The sequence below is a fragment of the Homo sapiens genome, chromosome 5, assembly GCF_000001405.40.
Source record: "Homo sapiens chromosome 5, GRCh38.p14 Primary Assembly".
Lineage (NCBI taxonomy): Eukaryota > Metazoa > Chordata > Mammalia > Primates > Hominidae > Homo > Homo sapiens.
In genome coordinates this window covers 38,561,202-38,580,335 of record NC_000005.10, presented here as the reverse complement: position 1 = coordinate 38,580,335, position 19,134 = coordinate 38,561,202, and the positions used below count along the sequence as shown (strand labels likewise).

The 19,134-nt window shown below is 41.0% G+C and overlaps 1 protein-coding gene and 2 long non-coding RNA genes across 6 annotated transcripts in view; 1 reads left to right on the top strand and 2 right to left on the bottom strand.

Moving 5' to 3' along the window:
- The window catches only part of LIFR (LIF receptor subunit alpha), a 133,736-nt gene that overhangs the window by 28,068 nt on the left and 86,534 nt on the right, over positions 1-19,134 (top strand). The gene's annotated exons all lie outside the window — the stretch shown is intronic.
- LIFR-AS1 (LIFR antisense RNA 1) overlaps positions 1-19,134 on the bottom strand; it is a 114,431-nt gene that overhangs the window by 90,881 nt on the left and 4,416 nt on the right. The window lies entirely within an intron of this gene.
- On the bottom strand, positions 736-4,896 carry LOC105374735 (uncharacterized). Its single transcript, XR_925936.3, has 2 exons — positions 3,955-4,896; positions 736-1,190 (listed from the first exon to the last, which is right to left on the bottom strand). It is a non-coding gene; the product is annotated as an uncharacterized LOC105374735 (long non-coding RNA).

The following is a 19,134-nucleotide window of genomic DNA, read 5'->3' as shown; positions in this document are numbered from 1 at the left end:
TGGAGGAATTAGGAGGCAACCACAGCCACCTCTGTTTGTGGCACACTCCAGCCATAGTGACTTTGAGAAACAAGAACCTCCACTTCCACAGCAGCATAAATCACATTGCACCTTATGAGTATCCCAGTGGAGGAGGTACAAGGATGCATTTGGGTGGAGGTGGAGAAAAAGTAGAAAATGAGCTTCCCTGATGATGACTCTCATAGAATTAAGTACTTTTATACTAATTTATAACTGCAGAACTTATTTATGAACTTCTAAAATGACAGATTCCCATAAATGGGGAAAAAAGTGCATTGCTTCAATTTACAGGAATTGCCTAATTCCAAACATAGTAATGAGAAGGATTTAAAATTAAAATCCTTTTGGGAACACTCTTCTACCTGGAAGAGCTAGCTTATTAGAGTCACCTCTTATGTGTTCTCCATTAACACTATTAAATTTCAACAGCCTGTAACTGTTGAATATTAAGATATTTGCATAGAATTCCCCAGGTTTTTGGATGACCTAGTAGAATATCACATTTTTAAAAACACACGAATAGCTCAAAGCTACACAGAGTTTATTATGCAACATTCTATTAGGAATAGCTCAAATGAATGCTTTATAGTAGAAGAAAGTGTTGCAGTATTTTGTCTATAACATAATTGACTTTCTTGGTGAGTATACCTCAAATTATTGAGGTATGTTGAGATGGTGTTTGGAAAATGTTCCATGGAAACAAAGCTTGGAAACTTGGGGTTAAACAATCTTGATTTTATTTTTCTATTGCAGGACTTCTGAGAGCCTTCGGTGTGCTGGTTTACATTGCATAGCTCTAGAGATGGGTATTATGTAGGAGTTCCTAAACTTAACTGACCATACATAGACTCCCCTCTTTTTTTTTTCCAAAAATATTTGACCTACTTTATGAAATGTCCTATATAGCAGATTATATTTCTGTTCAAAATGTTGGCTGCTCCTCCCTGTGGTATCCCTTTTCTGTAGAAATATTATCCTTCTCTACTTCACTGGCCCCAAGTGTGGCCACGTGACCTGTTTTGGCCAATGTAACATGGCTGTGGGTAAGGTGTGTTTCTTCTATCAGACACTCGAAGAGCCAGGTGTAGTTCATCTATTCTTTGTATCCTTTGCTACAAGACCAGCTATGTCCCAAAGTTTGTTCTGACATCTTAGAGTTCTGGAGAGTCCTAGAATGGAAATGTAAATGCATAAAACATAAGTCTTTGAAATTGTAAGCCATTAATATTTTGCATCATTTGTTACCACAGCCAACTGAGCCTAAGGTGACTAATGCCTTCTACTTCTAAGTATTTCTAAATTATCTGAACCTTTACCACTTTTCACAGGTGTACTCATTCTGTATTGATTGTCTAAATGAGGAAGTGTTCTTGGAATTATTCTTTAGGTTAGGACAGTACACTTGAAGGTGAACTAAAAAAAATATATATGAAACGTGTCTTAAAGAAATGGTGTCTAGGCTGCGCGTGGTGGCTCACGCCTGTAATCCCAGCACTTTGGGAGGCTGAGGCAGGCAGATCATCAGAGGTCAGGAGTTTGAGACCAGCCTATCCAACATGGTGAAACCCTGTCTCTACTAAAAATATTTTTAAAAAGTTAGCTGGGTGTGGTGGTGGACACCTGTAATCTCAGCTACTCAGGAGGCTGAGACATGAGAATCACTTGAACCCGGGAGGCAGAGTTTGCAGTGAGCCAGGATCGCACCACTACACTACACACTACAGCCTGGGCGACAGAGTGAGACTGTCTAAAAAAAAAAGAAATAGTGTCTAGTAGTTACCTGGAATTTTATCAAAAATGAGTAGTCTTGGTTGGGCGTGGTGTCTCATGCCTATAATCTGAGCACTTCGGGAGGCCAAGGCAGGCGGGTCACCTGAAGTTGGGAGTTCGAGACCAGCCTGACCAACATGGAGAAACCCCGTCTCTACTAAAAATACAAAATTAGCTGGGTGTGGTGGTCCATGCCTGTAATACCAGCTACTCAGGAGGCTGAGGCAGGGGAATCACTTGAAACCGGGAGGCAGACGTTGCGGTGAGCCGAGATCACACCATTGCACTCCAGCCTGGGCAACAAGAGCAAAACTCTGTCTCAAAAAAAAAAAAAAAAGAAAAAGAAAAAGAAAAGAAAAGAAAAAGGAAAATAAAAGAATATTCTCAGGCTCAATTCTCAGAGATTCTGATTTAATGGGCCTTGGATGGGTCCTAGGAATCTGAATTTTAAACTAGATGTTACCAATGCAGCTTGTCTGTTAACCACACCTTGGAAAAATGCCACTCTAAAGCCACTGTTTGATTAACAGTCATGTGATAACATGCATTTAAATAAATGTCATTTCAATTTAAGAAGGCACCATGGAGGGTCCTCCTTGGAATTCCTGGAAGCATGTATGAAATCAGTTTTATCACATTTGAGTTTATATTCATTACATTTTAGTGCAAAATATTTTATGCACAAATGATACTTTCATGCTTAAATGCCTATGTTGTTCAAAAAGCCTGATTCTAAGTGACCCTTAGCTCTTTCAAAAAAATAAAACCAAAACCAATCTGCTTTAAAAAGATTAAGTTCTGTTACCAATGAAGATCAAGGGCTATTTCAGTTGCAAGTGACAGAAACTTAATTCAAACTGTGTTAAGCAAAACAAACATTGGTTACAGAGCTAAAACGTCCATGGTTTTTGAGAGGATGAAGTTCTTGGTTGACAGGGCAGGACATGTCAAAACTGGAGAGAAGCACTCTGGGAAGGTGTCTGGGAGGTGGGGATGCTATCAGTCAGTGGGCAGGAAGAGGAGGGTGTGCAGGTTCTTGTGGGAGGAAGACTAGGCAGGCAAGGCACTATCTGGACAGTGTGGGAAAAGGTGAAGGGGCAGTCTAGGCAGATGACTGGCACCGGGGAGATTTGCCCAGGTGTGGTAAATGGAAGTCCTGAGAGCTGGGTAGGGAATAATCAGAAAGGAAGGAGTAGGTGGGTAGGCAGAGCGAGAGGTGTCAGTCAGCTGAAATCAGGGCTCCATTTACAATTAGATCTAGATACTCAAAACGTAGCTTCAAATATCTGCTTCTTTCCATCAATCAGCACTACATCCTCCTCCATTGTTAGCTTCATACTCAGACATTAAGTCAGGATGAGAAGAAAGGAGAGGGAGGAGAATGAGTTGGCTGAATACCATGACCAGATGTTTAGAAACCAAATCATAAAAATCTTTTTAACTGGTGTCTTTGAATGTCTTAAGCTTTTCAAGAAATTCTTATAACCTTCAATATCTGTTTGTGTCATCAGTGTCAGTTCAAATCGATTCCACTGACAGCTTGATAAATGATTTCCAATTTTATCTCAGACAAATGCAGTATGGTTCAATCAATGGTTTTGCTTATGTGAGCACTTTAGGATTGTGTCCGATCCATTTCTACTTAAAAATTTAGTTTCAGTGTTGCTTGACTAATTTTCACAACTCTGTGCTTTGAATGTGTCTGAATATTGCCCCGAATCCCTCCCTATAACAGGCATGAAGAAAATCTGAGATAGAAATAATACGTACTTGATTACTTGATCCTTTATCACAGGCAACTAACTACTGTAACCAGATGATTCCCTGCTGACACTATTGTGATACCTGCCAAAGAAACTGTCTAATGTCACGTTAACACATTAAAAATGACAACCAGCCAAGCCTCTAAGCCTTCTTTCACTCTTGGCATTTGTAGTTGTTTGCTTATCGGATGGTGTCACGTTTCTATGAGTCCCAGCGCTGGCTCGCATTATAGTCAAGTGGAACCAAGAAAATGCTGGCAAGTCTGTCATGGAAAGCTAGGCCTATAATGCACAGGACAACCCTCTTTAACCAAAAATTATCTGGCTCTGGATGTCAAGAGTGCCAAGGTTGAGCAAGGTTATGCCTGTTTTAGATAATCATAGGAACTCTGGCTCTTACCTGTAAGAAATTGAAAGGCATGATCAGGTTTTAAGCAAAAGGAAGAATCATCCAAGTTACATTTTTAAACAGGATTGTTCTGGATATGATGTTGACCACAGATGGCAGTGGAGCAAGCAGGAAGCAGAGAGGACTGTTAGCAGATTATTGCAATAACAGACAAGAGATGATAGTGACTTAGACCAGCAAGGTGGTTTTTGAGGTTCACAACTTTAAATTTGGTTCTTTTATCCCTACCATAGAGATGAGGAAACAGAGGCTCAGGGAGGAATATAACCAGGCCACGTGGCTGATTAAACCACGGCATTAGTATGTGGGCCCAGCAGTCTGATTTCAAAGCCATGGTCTTTCCACAGCATTATGATGCCCTTCCCCCATCACCTTCCTCTGTATCTCTTTCTCAAACAAAATGCAAAACCAGTGACACAGGAATAAATCCTAGAAAGAGCAATCTTCACAAGGTTCCTTTCCAGGCCTACCATTCCAAGTATCTGAGCTAAACCGACTTGAGCCCGGGTCACCTCAGTTACCCAAATCTGTCTCTTTAAATTTCCCCCTAAGGACAAGATTGGTCCCAGAACCCAGAGCAGGGATGAGCCTATAGGTGGGGGGCCTCTGGGTCCTACAGAGGATGGAGAAGAGATATGAGAGGTGGGAAACCAGTCCAGCACATTTTCTGGATCAGCGGACTGTGTAATGTGTGTTTGTTAATTTGTGCCCCAAACCACAGCTGCCCATGGACTCAGCACAGCCATTAGTGGATTTCTGACAGTCTATGGCAGGCAGCCCTGTGTTCTTCACAATTGTCACAATTTAGACTTTAAACAATTCAGAGTGGTCTCTTTTCATGTATAGGAAGCTCTCTCTGGGCAAACGGTGGGTAACCAGCACATCAGACAACGGCATCAGATTGCAAACTTGTCTCCGTAAATTGAAGTAATCAGAAACAAACAGATACAAAGTTGTTTTATAAAACCTCTTAAAGTATAATATACATAAATATAAGTGCATATATCATAAATGTATATATTGGTGAATTTTTATAAGCTAAACACTAAGAACATTATCAGTACCCTGGGGCCCCCACCATCCCCTTCCAATCACTACTCTTCCAAGAGTAGCTGCCATTCCTGACTTTTAATACTGTAAATTAGTTTTGCCAGTTTTTGAACTTTTTCTAAGTGGAATCAAATAGAATGTTCTTGACTTATTTCCTCCAACATCACATTTGTGAGATTCATCTGTGTTGTTAAGTTTAGACCATTTATTTTTGCTGTTATATAATATGACATATGAATACAAAACAGTTGATCTGTTCTGCTTGGATGGGCATGTGGATAGTTTCCAGTTTGGAGTTATTATGAATAGTATGCTGTGACAATTTCAGTGCATGCCTTTTGGTGAAAACATGCACAAGTTCCTGTTGAGTATATACGTAGGTGTGGAATTGCAGGGTTGCAGGGGAACAAAAGATGTCTTGATAGGATGAAATATAACATATTCTAGCTATAGAGGTAAAACAATGTGTATAGATATTACAGGGAAGGTTTGGATAGGCTCAAGAATGAAAGCAAAAGTCCAGAGCTTAGGAAAAGACTGTGACCGTCAGCATGCAAAGTAGAGTATAGTCTAAGCTAAGGAAAATGATGGTGTGTGTAGATAGTTAGGTAACTTGCAGAAACCAAGTGGCAGCAGTGCTGGGTAGTAAAGGGCTTTCGTTGAAAGACCTGAGTTCGAACTTGCTCTCAGTTTGACTGTGTAACTGAGGTGTGTCACTTGACAGCTCAAAGCCTTGACTTTCCCTTACAGAAAATTGTTGAGAAGATTAAATTCATTCATTCAACAATGATTGATTGACTACCTACCCATGTGCTGAAGACTGGAGATCCAGCAGGAAACAAAAAAGTGTCCTTGTCCTCATTGATTTTACTGGGAAGGAATACCCATGGTAAACAATGGCCATGTAATGACAATTATGAAAATTGCAATCACGGAATCTAACCAGTCCGGGGGGTCTGGGAGGAGTGTCTGAGGCAAGTAGACATGAGCCAGGCCAAGAATTGGGGTGACAAATTTCAGGCAGATGAAATAGCATGAGGGAAGTCTATAGAGGGAAGGAGCCTGGCATGTGTAAGGAAAAGAGACAGTGAGTGTGGCTGACAGGAGTAAGCAGAGGGGAGAGTGAAGACCAGATGCAGTGGCAGGCCGGGCTTTTAAGTGGTTGGCTTACCTTGATTGCTTTTTTTTTGTTTTGTTGTGTTTTTTTGAGATGGAGTCTCACTCTGTTGCCCAGGCTGGAAAGCAGTGGTGCCATCTCGGCTCACTGCAACCTCTGCCTCCCAGGTTCAAGCAATTCTCCTGCCTCAGCCTCCCAAGTAATTTGGGACTACAGGCATATGCCACCATGCTCGACTAATTTTTGTATTTTTAGTAGAGACGGGGTTTCACCATGTTGGCCAGGCTGGTCTGCCTCAGCCTCAAGTGATCTATACCCCTCAGGCTCCCAAAATGCTGAGATTACAGGTGTGAGCCACCGCACCCAGCCCCTTGATTGCTTTTTAAGCCTTTTAAACTGAAGGCAAAAAGAGGACTGGGAAATAGGGTGGGAGTGGTGACAAAATCAGGAAAGTGCAAAAATATATGCTGATTTGTAAATTTACATTTCAGTATTCATCCAGTCATTCATTTATATTTATGCGATGAGGGACTACCAAGTGCATCTGATCATGTCTGAAATTATTTGGGTGTCAATAACTACTGAATGGGATGAATGCATAAACAGTAACTTACAAGGTCAACACGCTGGCAAAAGAAATTCTGTTTAAAATTATTTAATTTCATTTGCTCTGATATTAAGTTAGTTCTTTCAGTAGATTTTCATTCTAGGAACAGTCGCTAATATTTGTTGAATGCTTACTATGCATCAACTTCTGTTCTAAGTAATATGGTAATATGTAACAGGTATGTTTTCTCATTCACTCCTAACCACAACAACGCAGACAGGTAGGATTCATTATTATCCCCTGCTTTACTGATGGTGAAGTAGACATCGAAAGGCACACTGACCCACTGGCCTGAGATCACCTAGTTAGTAAGCAGAGAGTCAAGATTTGCACTCAGGCAGTCTGATTCCAGCTCAAAAGCTCCTAATGGCTACTTCTAGCTTCCAGAAAGAAGTCACAGACAAGCAACACAAATATCTGGTTGGTTTAATTGTTGCATTTCTCATTTTAAATTAGTAAATTGGTATTGTGCATTACACATTAAGCTCTTGTGAGCTGATTAGTGTGACTTGACTCTCTAGGGTTTTGCTCCCTTCTAGTGAACTAATAAGGCTGAATTTCCAAACCTGCAATCCAGCTGTGGATCAATGGTTAGAACACAGGAGAGTGACAGAAACAAAGATGGGGAAAGTTGCAGCGGCCACATCTTGCAGGTTATATAGACCATGCACACAGTTTGAACTGTTTCGTAGTGTGTAGGGAAGGAGTATGATTGGTTAGGATGTGATCACAACAGTTTGGGTGAGAGATGATGGTGACTTAGATGACTATGATGGTAGTTAAAATGGAGATGAAATAACAGATTCTAAGTAAAAGGCTGCACAAAGTGCTTGGCATGTAGTAGGTGTGCTATTAAGGGGTAGCTATTGTTAACAACCATGGCAAATTCATTTCAATCCAGCAGGTTACATTTCATGGATTGGAAATGACTGCCTGAAGCATAGCGTTGGAAAGATATTCTGACCCCCCTTCAGGCCCGCACAGAAGGAGCACTAGGATAGACTGGAGATGTCTGTCATAAGCTCTGGATAAACAGGTGGTAGCACAAATGTTGAGGGGTGCTTTATAAGGATTTTCAAATCAATAGTTTGGATCTGTGCCCCCACCCAAACCTCATGTTGAATTATAATCCCTAATGTTGCAGTGGGGCCTGGTGGGATATGAATGAATCATGGGAGTAGGTTTCTCATGAATGATTTAACACTCTCCCCTTGGTGCTGTTCTCATGACAGTGAGTGAGTTCTTGCAAGATCTGGTTGTTTAAAAAGTGTGTAGCACCTTCCCCTCACTCTATATATCTTGTTCCTGCTCCTGCCATGTAAGACACCTGCTCCTTCTTTGCCTTCTGCATGTTTGGAAGCTTCCTAAGGTCACCCCAAAAGCAGAAGCTGCTATGCTTCCTGTATAGCCTGCAGAATTGTGAGCCAATTAAGCCTCTTTTCTTTATAAATTACCCAGTCTCAGGTATTTCTTTATAGTAATGTGAGAACAGACTAATATACAAGTAAAGACAAGATTCTTATACAGACGATTTTGAATCGTTTTTCTCCATAATAATATTCAAAGATAAAGTGGGCTTAAGCTATAGTAAAAACAATCCTATTTATTAGAAAAAAGCAATACCTAATGGATGATGAACCACAGAAACTTACAAAATTGACCTTCGGTTTGAAAGTACTCATGGGTAATGCCCTCCCTGCAAACAAAAGATTCCACAGGCAAGTTAGTTTGACTTAGGTCAAATGTTTTAGGCCTCTCTTAGAGGTTCATGATGCATATTAGCATGCTAAAAGTTCAGAAAGGGAAGCACACTAAAAGACACATTTTTAAGGTTGTTTAACCAGAAGTTTCCAAATTCATTGACCATGGGATATTTTTTCACTTTATGCTTAACATCTCATAGAAACATAATGCCTGCATTAATATTGCATTATGATAACAAGACATTGTGCTACAAAATTGGTAATGTCATGTCATCTTTTTTCTTCTGGCTTTTGTACAGCTCAATCAGTAGGAGCAAAGGAGAGGAGGAGAAGGAGGCTAGTGCTTTTTTTTTTTTTTTTTTTTTTGAGCTGGAATGCAGTGGCACAATCTTGGCTCACTGCAACCTCTGCTTCCCGGATTCAGGTGACTCTCCTGCCCCAGCCTCTTAAGTAGCTGGGACTACAGACACCCACCACGACCCCCAACTAATTGTTTTTGTATTTTTAGTAGAGACAGGGTTTCACCATATTGGCCAGGCTGGTCTCGAACTCCTGACTTCAAGTGATCCGCCCGCCTCAGCCTCCCAAAGTGCTGGGCTTACAGGCATGAGCCACTGTGCCCAGCCGACTAGTGCATACTATTTGTTCGTTTCTAGTGAAAGATGCTCACTTAATGATAACTGGTTGTATATAGCAGCACCTTGGCTCTGAATCTGATCACTGACGTTGTGGCTAACAATATTTAACCTTTGGCTGATGAAGATCAAGTTGCAGCCTACACCCACATTTTGAAGTTGCTTAAATTTGGACTACTCAGGAGACACACAGATTCTACAGATGTGAGCCAGTCACAGAACACTAGGGCTTATTCATTTTCAAAGTTTCCAATTTTTAGTTCAGTGCTTCGTACATAAAAGAGGCTCACAAATGGCTTTTGAGTAATGAATGAATACACAAACGAATGAATAATTATGGTAACTATTTTTGCTCATGAGAAAAGGTAATTAATTATAAGAAGAGTAAGTATTGTGCCAAATCTAGGATAAATTTTAAATAACACAATAGCCTTAAAATTAAACAAGAGTTCTTTTTTTGTTCTGTGGAGATTTAGCAAGTTAGATCTACTTTTGTCTGAATTATACATGCTGAAAAAATGGCATCTTCAGACACAAATTGGCTAACGTTATTAAGTAACTTTGTCCTTTAATTAGGCAAGTCACTGAATCTCTTTGTTTTCTTGTCTCCTGCGATAGGTGAACTCTAAGTTCTAAAGTGTCCATGAATCTATTCACTTATAAATATGATGCTTTGTACTTTTTTTTTCTTGCAACACCGGGAAAGTGCATAATGTTCATTCTAAAACCCAGTCTAAGTCCAGACCGAAAAAGCCTCAGGAAAGCACAGAATTCCAACATGTTTTGCAAGAAAATCCTCACTCATTAAAGGTATGCTCATAAGAGGAAAACAAGAACTCTATTATATTTTCCTACAGAAGAACTGTATGAAGTCCTCTCCACAGAATCTCAGCAAGAACAACACTCTCTTCTGGGACAATCTTGATGAACATGGGCTACCTTGGGAACTGGTGACTTGGGCAGGTCCCCTAATAATCTTTAGGTACCATTATAAGCCAACACTTACATGTACTTATTAAATAGCAGCCACTGTTCTAAATGCTCTACTTAGACAAATTCATTTAATCCTAACCATAGCCCTAAGAACTGGGTGGGATTATTATCTTCATTTTACAGACGGGCAAGTTAAGGTATAGCATGCTTAATTATCTAACTGTTATGGACCTATTAAATGGTGAGGAATCAAGATAGTATGGGTCCAGAATCTCTGCTGGTAACCCCTCTGCTATACTGCCACTCAGGATATCATCTAGCTATTGACGAAGGCTGAAACAAACTAAGTCAACTAACACTTATCGGGAGTCCACCATATTAAATGCTGTAAAGAACTAAGGGGGAATAAAATGATGAGGGCCTCATTACTGCACTTACCCAGCTAACAAATAAGCAACATACTCTAGGCAGAATGAAATGAATATTAGAATAAAGATTCTTCGGAAAGAGGAGGTAGAATTTGATATAGCCTTGAAGAATAGGATTTTAATAGATAGAGTGGAAAGACAACATTTCAGATTCAAGCAACAGTGCGATTTTAGGGTGTGCCAATTAGGCTTGTCTGCCCAGATTGTAAGACACACAGTAGGGCAGCGGTCCCCAAACTTTCTGGCACCAGGGACCAGTTTCCATGGGAGAAAATGTCTCCACGGACTGGGGTTGTGGAGATGATGGTTTCAGGATGAAACTGTTCCACCTCAGATCACATCGGGCATTAGATTCTCATAAGGAGTATGCAACCTAGATCCCTTACATGTGCAGTTCATAATAGGGTTCACACTGCTATGATAATCTAATGCTGCTGCTGATCTGACAGGAGGTGGAGCTCAGGTGGTAATGCTCGCTTGCCTGCTTCTCACCTCCTGCTGAGCAGCCTCCTGCTTCTCACCTCCTGCTGAGCAGGGTTCCTAACAGGCCACAGTCCAGTGAACCCTGCAGTAGGGGATGACATCTGGCTCTTGAAGAGTCTCAATGCTGTGCTGAGTCTAAATGTCATTGTGTAGGCAATAAAGACTAATTTGACTTTTACTTTGGAGTATAACTCGAGATAGAATGGTGGGCTATAATCTGAGCAAGAAGAATGAGAAATTAAATCAAGGCAGTTTCAGTAACAAGTGTAAAAATGGGTGATGTGGTACCAGGGTGTTGCGATATGGTGCCCAGACCTCCCCTTCAGTAATAATGATCAGATTATCCAAGTCACTGGGAATGCTGCCAAAAGAGGGCCTTCGGCCAAGGTCATGACCTCTTCCTGGGATGGTGGCATCAATGACTGATCATCACTGGGGATATAAAGGCCCCTACCTCTCACCACAGCTCAGGACAGCTCTGAAGGGCCATCTCAGCCTCAGAACTCACCACATTGTAGTTGAACTTCTTTCTCTGCCCAGTTGTGCTTTCTTTCCTTCTCTTTGACAAACTACTGTCTCAAGAGCACTCCCAATAAACCTCTCCCACACTAATCTCTGTCCTAGAGTCTGTATCCTGGGACGCTCAACCTGCTTCTGATGGCTGTAAGGTGCATTATAAAAACAAAACCCCCAGTTGGGCATGTATGCACGAATGTAGCAAATGAAGGAGAAGAAAAAGTCATAGATGATGCCCAACCAGCATAGCTAGGAGGGTGGTCTTAGCCAGCATGGTCACTCCCTACTCAGCCCCTCAGTGCAGTGTCTCTTCTTGACCCCTATAATCTACTCCTCACACATGTGGCAGAGGGATTCATGCTCCAAATCTTGCCATCATGTGCAGAAGAAATTCAAGAGTCCTTTATCCTGCCTACAACATCCCACCTAATTGGCCCCCCAGATACCTCTCCAACCTCCCCATGCTTCTGGACTCCAGCCACACTGACCTCCTTGCAGTTCTGGAACATGCCAACCATGTGCCTGTTGGTCCCCCAGAAACTCCCATAGGCCCTTGTCTCATTTCATTTAGCCCTCTCTGCTCAAAAATTCCTTCTCAAGAAGGCCTCCTCCAACTACTCCATTTAGCATAGAAACCCCTGTCATTCTCTATCCGTTTAAACCCACTTAATTTTTTTCCAAAGCACTTATTTCAAGTTGCCATTGGTACATTATTTACCTATGTGTTTATGCATGGTCTCTTTCTCTCTCTAGAATGAGAGCTCCATGAAGGCAAGAACTTTATCATCTTCACTGTTATATCCCTGGTCAGGCACATAATTTGTACATAAGTTAATGAAAATGAGAGTCATAGGAGAAGTGTGTTTTCAGCAGAAAATATCAGTTCAATTTTGAATAGGTTGAATCTGAACAGCCTTTACAACAAAGCAGTCAGATCAGATGTTTAGAAGACAGTTACTCATAGTACCCAGTCTCTGTGAGGTGTAGGGAGAGAATGAGCTAGAATGGCAGTTCCTAAGTTGCTCTGGGGGAATATTAACCTCATGGCAGGCTCTTTGAAATACAGAATGGTTGGGCCAGGTGGTGGCTCATGCCTATAATCCCAGCACTTTGGGAGGTTGAGGTGGGCAGATCACCTGTGGTCAGGAGTTCGAGACCAGCCTGGCCAACATGGCAAAACCTCGGCTCTACTAAAAATACAAAAATTAGCTGGGCATGGTGGCATGCCCCTGTAGTCCCAGCTATTTGGGAGGCTGAGGTAGGAGAATTGCTTGAACCCAAGAGGCGGAGGTTCCAGTGAGCCAGATCATGCCACTGCACTCCAGCCTGGGCAACAGAGTGAGACTCAGTCTTCAAAATAAATAAATAAATAAATAAATAAATAAATAAATAAATAAATAAATACAGAATGGTCATATTCCTTCAATGAAATAAAAACCAAACAGCTTTAATAAAAGAAAAATTAATAAACAAATAATGGATAAGAGGGAGATGAAGAGAAACAGAATGAGAGACAGAGAAACGAAGGGGATTTATTGGCTCATGTAACAGCAATGTCCAGAGGTTCAGGCTGGACAAGATCCAAGGACTCCAACAGTGATCCCAGAATTTGGTCTGTCTCCATCTCTCAGCTCTGCTAGTCACTTCTCTGAGGGTCTGCATTCTCAGCCAGGCTCTTTCCAAACAGACCACATGGAAAGTAGATCACCAGAATTGGTTCCAATTCCTTCCTTTCAACGAACGCAGTGAAAGATGGTGCCTCTTCCACAACAGTTCTTTAAAAAAATCAAAGGAATTGGACCTAAGGAGCTGGTCTGGCTTGAGTCCTAGGCCCAGAGGGATAAATGGTCTGATTCACTTAGACTGGGTCATCTCTGACACTGTGCGCTGCAGGTTCCCAGGAGCTGATGATGTGCCTCTCTTCCCAACTCCATGTTTAGTGATTTCACCTTGGTAGCTTAAAGTTGGCCATGGTAAAAGTATTTACACCATGGAAAATGTCAAATGCTACAAATCAAGGATTTTCTTCTTTTTTTTTAGAATTGGTTTTTAACACTTACCAATGAATCACTTGTCATATGAACATTTCTAAAGCCAGGAATGGGGGACAGATTCACCAGAACTCAGGGACTAAGAATGAGGAATAGGTTCCCTAAAGGACAATCAAGATATTGTTACCAGGAAAAGGGATGACTGTTGGGAAGCGTCCTCCCATATATTATATTATTACATTACATTATGTTATAATTGAGGATCCACAATGAACTAAGGGTTCTAAAAAGGCCTGTGACTTATAAAGCTGTTTAACTCAGTGTTATCCAACCTTCTGTGATTAGAAAGTCTCCTTTTTCATAAACTTCTGATTAACTTCTCAATGCCTTTGGAAAATAGTGAACAAGAGTATAGAGATATTAATACAAAAGAAGGGAACTAACAATTTATATGTAGATCTATTGCTGTGTTAGTGGCTGGGGGAAAAAAGATTCTTAATGTTTTCCTCTCCCTTGAATGGCAAATAGAAAATGCCTAAAATGAAGAAAATATTGATTTTAAACCAACTGATACGTCTGCAAACTTTATTTTAACTTTGAGCCACTGAAAGGGATTTAAAATCAAAGGAACAATATATTTCCTATATCTTTTAGGCTGAATATTATATGTTAATTCTAATATTTTTATGAGCTGTAATTAACCTTCGGTCATTGAGAAATCAAATACTCAGGCTTTTAAGCTTATATCTAAAACTTCATCTAGTGCTATGATAGGAAGAAAAAATGAAAGACAGAAAGCAATAAAAATTAATTTTAAAATAGTTTCTTTTTTTCTTTTCTTTTTTGGCAACTCAGGCTAATCAAGGACATTCTGACCATGTTTTGAGAGTCTTAATACGTAAGCTTCATCAGAGTCTTCATAAGACAAAGGGCTTTGTCTCACTCACTGTTGTTTCCTTAGCATGCATATGTATTAAGTACTCAATAAATATTTGTTGAACACTAAGTTTTAAAAATCAACAATGGGGCTGGGAGCAGTGGCTCACGCCTGTAATCCCAGCACTTTGGGATGCCGAGGTGTGGGGGATCACCTGAGGTCTGGAGTTCGAGACCAGCCTAACATGGAGAAACCCTGTCTCTACTAAAAATACAAAATTAGCCAGGCATGGCAGTGCATGCCTGAAGTCCCAGCTACTTGGGAGGCTGAGGCAGGAGAATCACTTGAACCCGGGAGGTGGGGGCTGCAGTGAGCCGAGACTGCGCCATTGTACTCCAGCCTGGGCAACAAGAGCGAAACTCCGTCTAAAAAAAAAAAAAAAAAAATCAACAATCATGACAGAGGTATATTTTATCCACTTGATGCTTTCTCATATACATCATCTCATTTCATATGTTTTGTGGACATATGAAGGCACTGTCTGCCCTTCCCACCTTCCTTCATGTAGGAATTTACCTTCCCCCAATAGCTATGTCACCATCCGGGACTTTATATTCTTTTACGTGGCCTTTCTCCCTTCCCTTTTTGCCTAAATTAGTTAGGCAATAGCTATGCTGCCATTTGGGACTTAATATTCTTTTTCATGATATTTCCCCCTTCCTTGTTTGCCTAAATTAGTGAGGGCTGTATTTCTACCACTTGCAGGAAAGGAATCTTCATTGAACAATTTTCACTGTTATATCTGTTATACTGAAAACTATATTAATGGAATACTGATATGCTTTGTTCTTCAACTGAAAATTTTTATTTTCTAAAGATAAAGTATTAAACATCCAAGGCTCAATACTGAATATAAGTCTAGTATAATTTCAACAAATTCCTTACTAAACTGCTGTGCAAAATAAAGATGAAAGCTCACACCTGTAATCCCAGCACTTTGGGAGGCCAAGGTGGATGGATTGCTTGAGGCCAGGAGTTTGAGATCAGTTGGCCAATGTGGCGAAACCCTGTCTCTACTAAAAATACAAAAAATTAGCCAGGCATGGTGGCAGGCGCCTGTAATCCCAGCTACTCGGCAGGCTGAGGCAGGAGAATCACTTGAACCTAGAAGGTGTAGGTTGCAGTGAGCCGAGATTGCACCACTGCACTCCAGCCTGGGTGACAAGTGAGACTCTGACTCAAAAAAAAAATATATGTGTGTGTGTGTGTGTGTGTGTGTGTGTGTGTGTGTGTGTGTAGTGTGTGTGTATATATATATTGTGTGTATATATATACATATGCATATGTATAACACTCTCTAAATCCAATGGAGACAAAAATAACACTCTCTAAAGCCAATGGAAGTGTCTAGGGATGCTCCCGGCTGTTGGTGGTTTTGAATATAACATCACTTTCAGGTTGAAGAAAGGAGTAACCCACCAGAGATGAATAGCAGTATGAGAATCCAGTCATGGGGGACTGGGTGTGGTGGCTCACACCTGTAATCCCAACACTTTGGGAGGCTGAGATGGGAGGATCCTTTGAGCCCAGGAGTTTGAGACAAGCCTGGCAACATAATGAGACCCTGTCTCTACAAAAAATAAAATTAGCCAGGCATGGTGGTGTGTCTGTAGTCCCAGCTACTTGGGAGGCTGAGGTGGGAGGATCACCTGAACCCAGGAGGTCAAGGCTGCAGTGAGCTGTGATGGTGCCACTGCACTCTAGCCTGGGCAGTAGTCTAAAAAAAAAAAAATCCAATCATGGGGTCTCAAAGCAGAAGAGTAGTGTGGGGAAGGGGGATGGGCTGATCCTACAGAGACACAATTCTGCACTCAAACAACACCCGAAGGAAAGAGCAAGTCTCTATCTCAACTAGCAATACAATCTGAAACAGGAATGCAGGAGAGAAAGAGTTAGATTCAACCCTACAGAGACAAAGGACAGGAGCCATTTGGACTAAAGAGAGACAGAATTCAGAGCATGTCCTTTGGGTTGAGAAGAGCCTTTGACAGCACTCAGTCAAAACCCAACTTTGTCAAAGCCTCACTCACAGCGGCACTACGGTGTAGGTGAGATCCTAGTGAAGCTCCTGAAACTAGAAGTGGCAGGAGAAGGTTCAGTGGCCAGCACTGAAGTGGAACATAGCGTTCAGGAATGAGGAGTGTGGGCTTTGGAGCCAGACTGCCATGGTTTGAATCACACTGTTGTCAGTAACCGTGTGGCCTTTGGCAAGTTAGTGAACCTCTTTGCCTGATTTGTAAATGGAGATGACAGCCCTCCCTGTAACTTGCAGGATTGTAGGGAGGATGGGCTGAGTTGGTACACAGTACCTGGCATGCCGTAAGTGCTTAATAAATGTTCAATGTTTTCTAGTGATTATGAATTCTGAGCCCCACTTTTAGCCAACATCTTCTAAATCATTATAAATTATGATGACTTTGGAATTAAACAGACTGGTGCATTCATATCTTTGTTATTTTACTCCTTTGAGCTTTGGTCTCTTCACCTGTAAAGTGAGACTAATATCTACATATATAAAACACAGAGAAAGTGCCTAGCATGGGGACTCTTTATGTTAATAACCAATTAATATTAATCTCCCAACCTGAGAGTCACCTGCACAGCTATGTTTCTCTTTTCTAGAGTTAAGAAAAAACCCAGTAAGGTTAGACTAATTGGTATAGTCCAGGTCAAGACTACTTGGGTAGGTAGAATGGAATTCTATGTGAACTCACATTTGAGTGGGATACTACATTGATTAGGGTAGTGGAAAGGTTTCTGTCAGCCCTTCAAGTCCAAGACCCTGGGAACAAAATAGCCTGAAACACAAGATTTCTTGGGCGTGTCACAGAAAAAAAATTCCAAGCTGCAGACTTTCCCTTTGAGAGTGGCGTCCTCAGTTACCTTAAATTCCAGTAGAAACACCATCCACAGAAATGTCCCTGTTTGCCAGAGCTGCCATAGTGATGGCCACTTTTGTTTTCCCAATATGAGACCCAGGCAGTGTTCCAGATTAGGTACCCGAAGAAAACCCTGGGGATATTACTGTTATTTAAATTAATTATTTAACTGACTAGTTATTTTTCAGCTACCCAGTGTTTCAGAGACCTTGAATTATGCCTATTGGCAAATGTGTAACCACTGAAAATTCTTCACAGTCAGAAACTGGAAAGAAAAATTCACCCCTGCAGTTTTAGGTTTTTTGGTTTTGTACATAATATTGAAGGTGGTGGATTAAGTGCAATATTTAGAATAATATATTCAAGGATTTAAGGAATTTGAGTTCAATTTTGAACCACTCCACCACCCCTGGCTGGACCTCAGCTCAATCCCTTAATCTTTTGGCTTCTTTCTCCATCTGCACAAGATGCCTCTGGCAACGCACTGAGTGCAGTAGCATAGGAATACATTCAATAATGGGCTTAATATCACCACTCAAAAGGGAGTAAATTGCTTTTTTGTGGGATCCATTAGCTTAATTGAGAATATTAGCTCAGTATTCTGGATGTACGATGGGCTATAAGAAAGAAGGTAGCATCAATTTAAATGTTTTGCTTTGCCTCCCTAAATGACTCTGGTCAACAGCTAAGAATAAGAATATAAGAATAAGGGGACAGAAAGAAAAGCAGGGACAGAGGAGAATGCTCAGGAAGTCAAAAGGAAGAGGTAAAGGGATGGAGGCTCAATGGCTAAGAAGTGAGGTATACGTGAAGACGGAGGCGGAAAAGAAGATGGGAGAGGCAAGAAGGGAAACAATAAGATTCCTTAAGGAGAGGAAGAGTAAGAATCTGAAACGAAGATTCCAATCAGATGGAAGTTAATTGGGACCAACCATATGGAGAGGGGCAGAGCAGAGGGGATGGACAGAGTTCACTCGGGAAAGAGAGGGTTTGGTAGGGCTGTCTCCCTCCCTCCTGTCACTGGCTGTCTTCACATTTGCGGTGCTCCCACGATCCCCAACACTAGGCTTTTGGCTCAGGGAGTTGGCTTTAACAGCTGTGCCATTTAGCCTCCCAAGAGTATAAGAGGTCTCCAAGACCCAGGGAGTTAAGCAAATGTTAGTGTATCGGGGGAAAGTGTTCTTACTTCATGTTCTTCAAATTAAACAATGAAGTGAAGTCATAGAGGACAGGAGGTGATGGTAAACAATACAATGGAACCAAAGGGAAAATGACTGCTTTATGGGTATCTCAGTGATACCAATTTACTCCTCATAATTCTCTAAGCTTTACTTTGCAAGGACAATTGGAGGCTAGAACTGCCTCACCATCACTCCTACTCCCAAAGCTTTGATAGACTTAGGAGTGGTAGTAGAAATTATAATAACGATAACATTCACAGCAAATATTTATTGCTTACTTTGTGTCAGGCACATACACATGCATCCTTCCAAAAGGGATTTCAGATGGTCTACAATAAGACAACTTCTAAGAGGGGAGGAAAAAATAGATATATATACCTTGGCTGAGGAAAGCTACAGTAAATTTGATATAGCAATAAGTGGTTTGATAGGAATTAACTCATTTTGTCATCTCTACAACCCTACGAGGTAGGTACTTTTAATAAGCCCTTTTTATAGAGAAGGAAACTAGGAAAACCAAGACTTGATTTTACATCATTGGCTTCACTTCAAAGGCTAGGGAAAACAAAAACAAAAACGAAACAACCACAGTAAGAGTCTCACTACTTACTTTCAACAATAGCAATGTTCAAGTTAATCACCAGAAAAAAAATTAGCTCTGTATGCCACCAAAAGATAGCCAAAATTGTTGTGTAGTGTCCCTCTTAACTT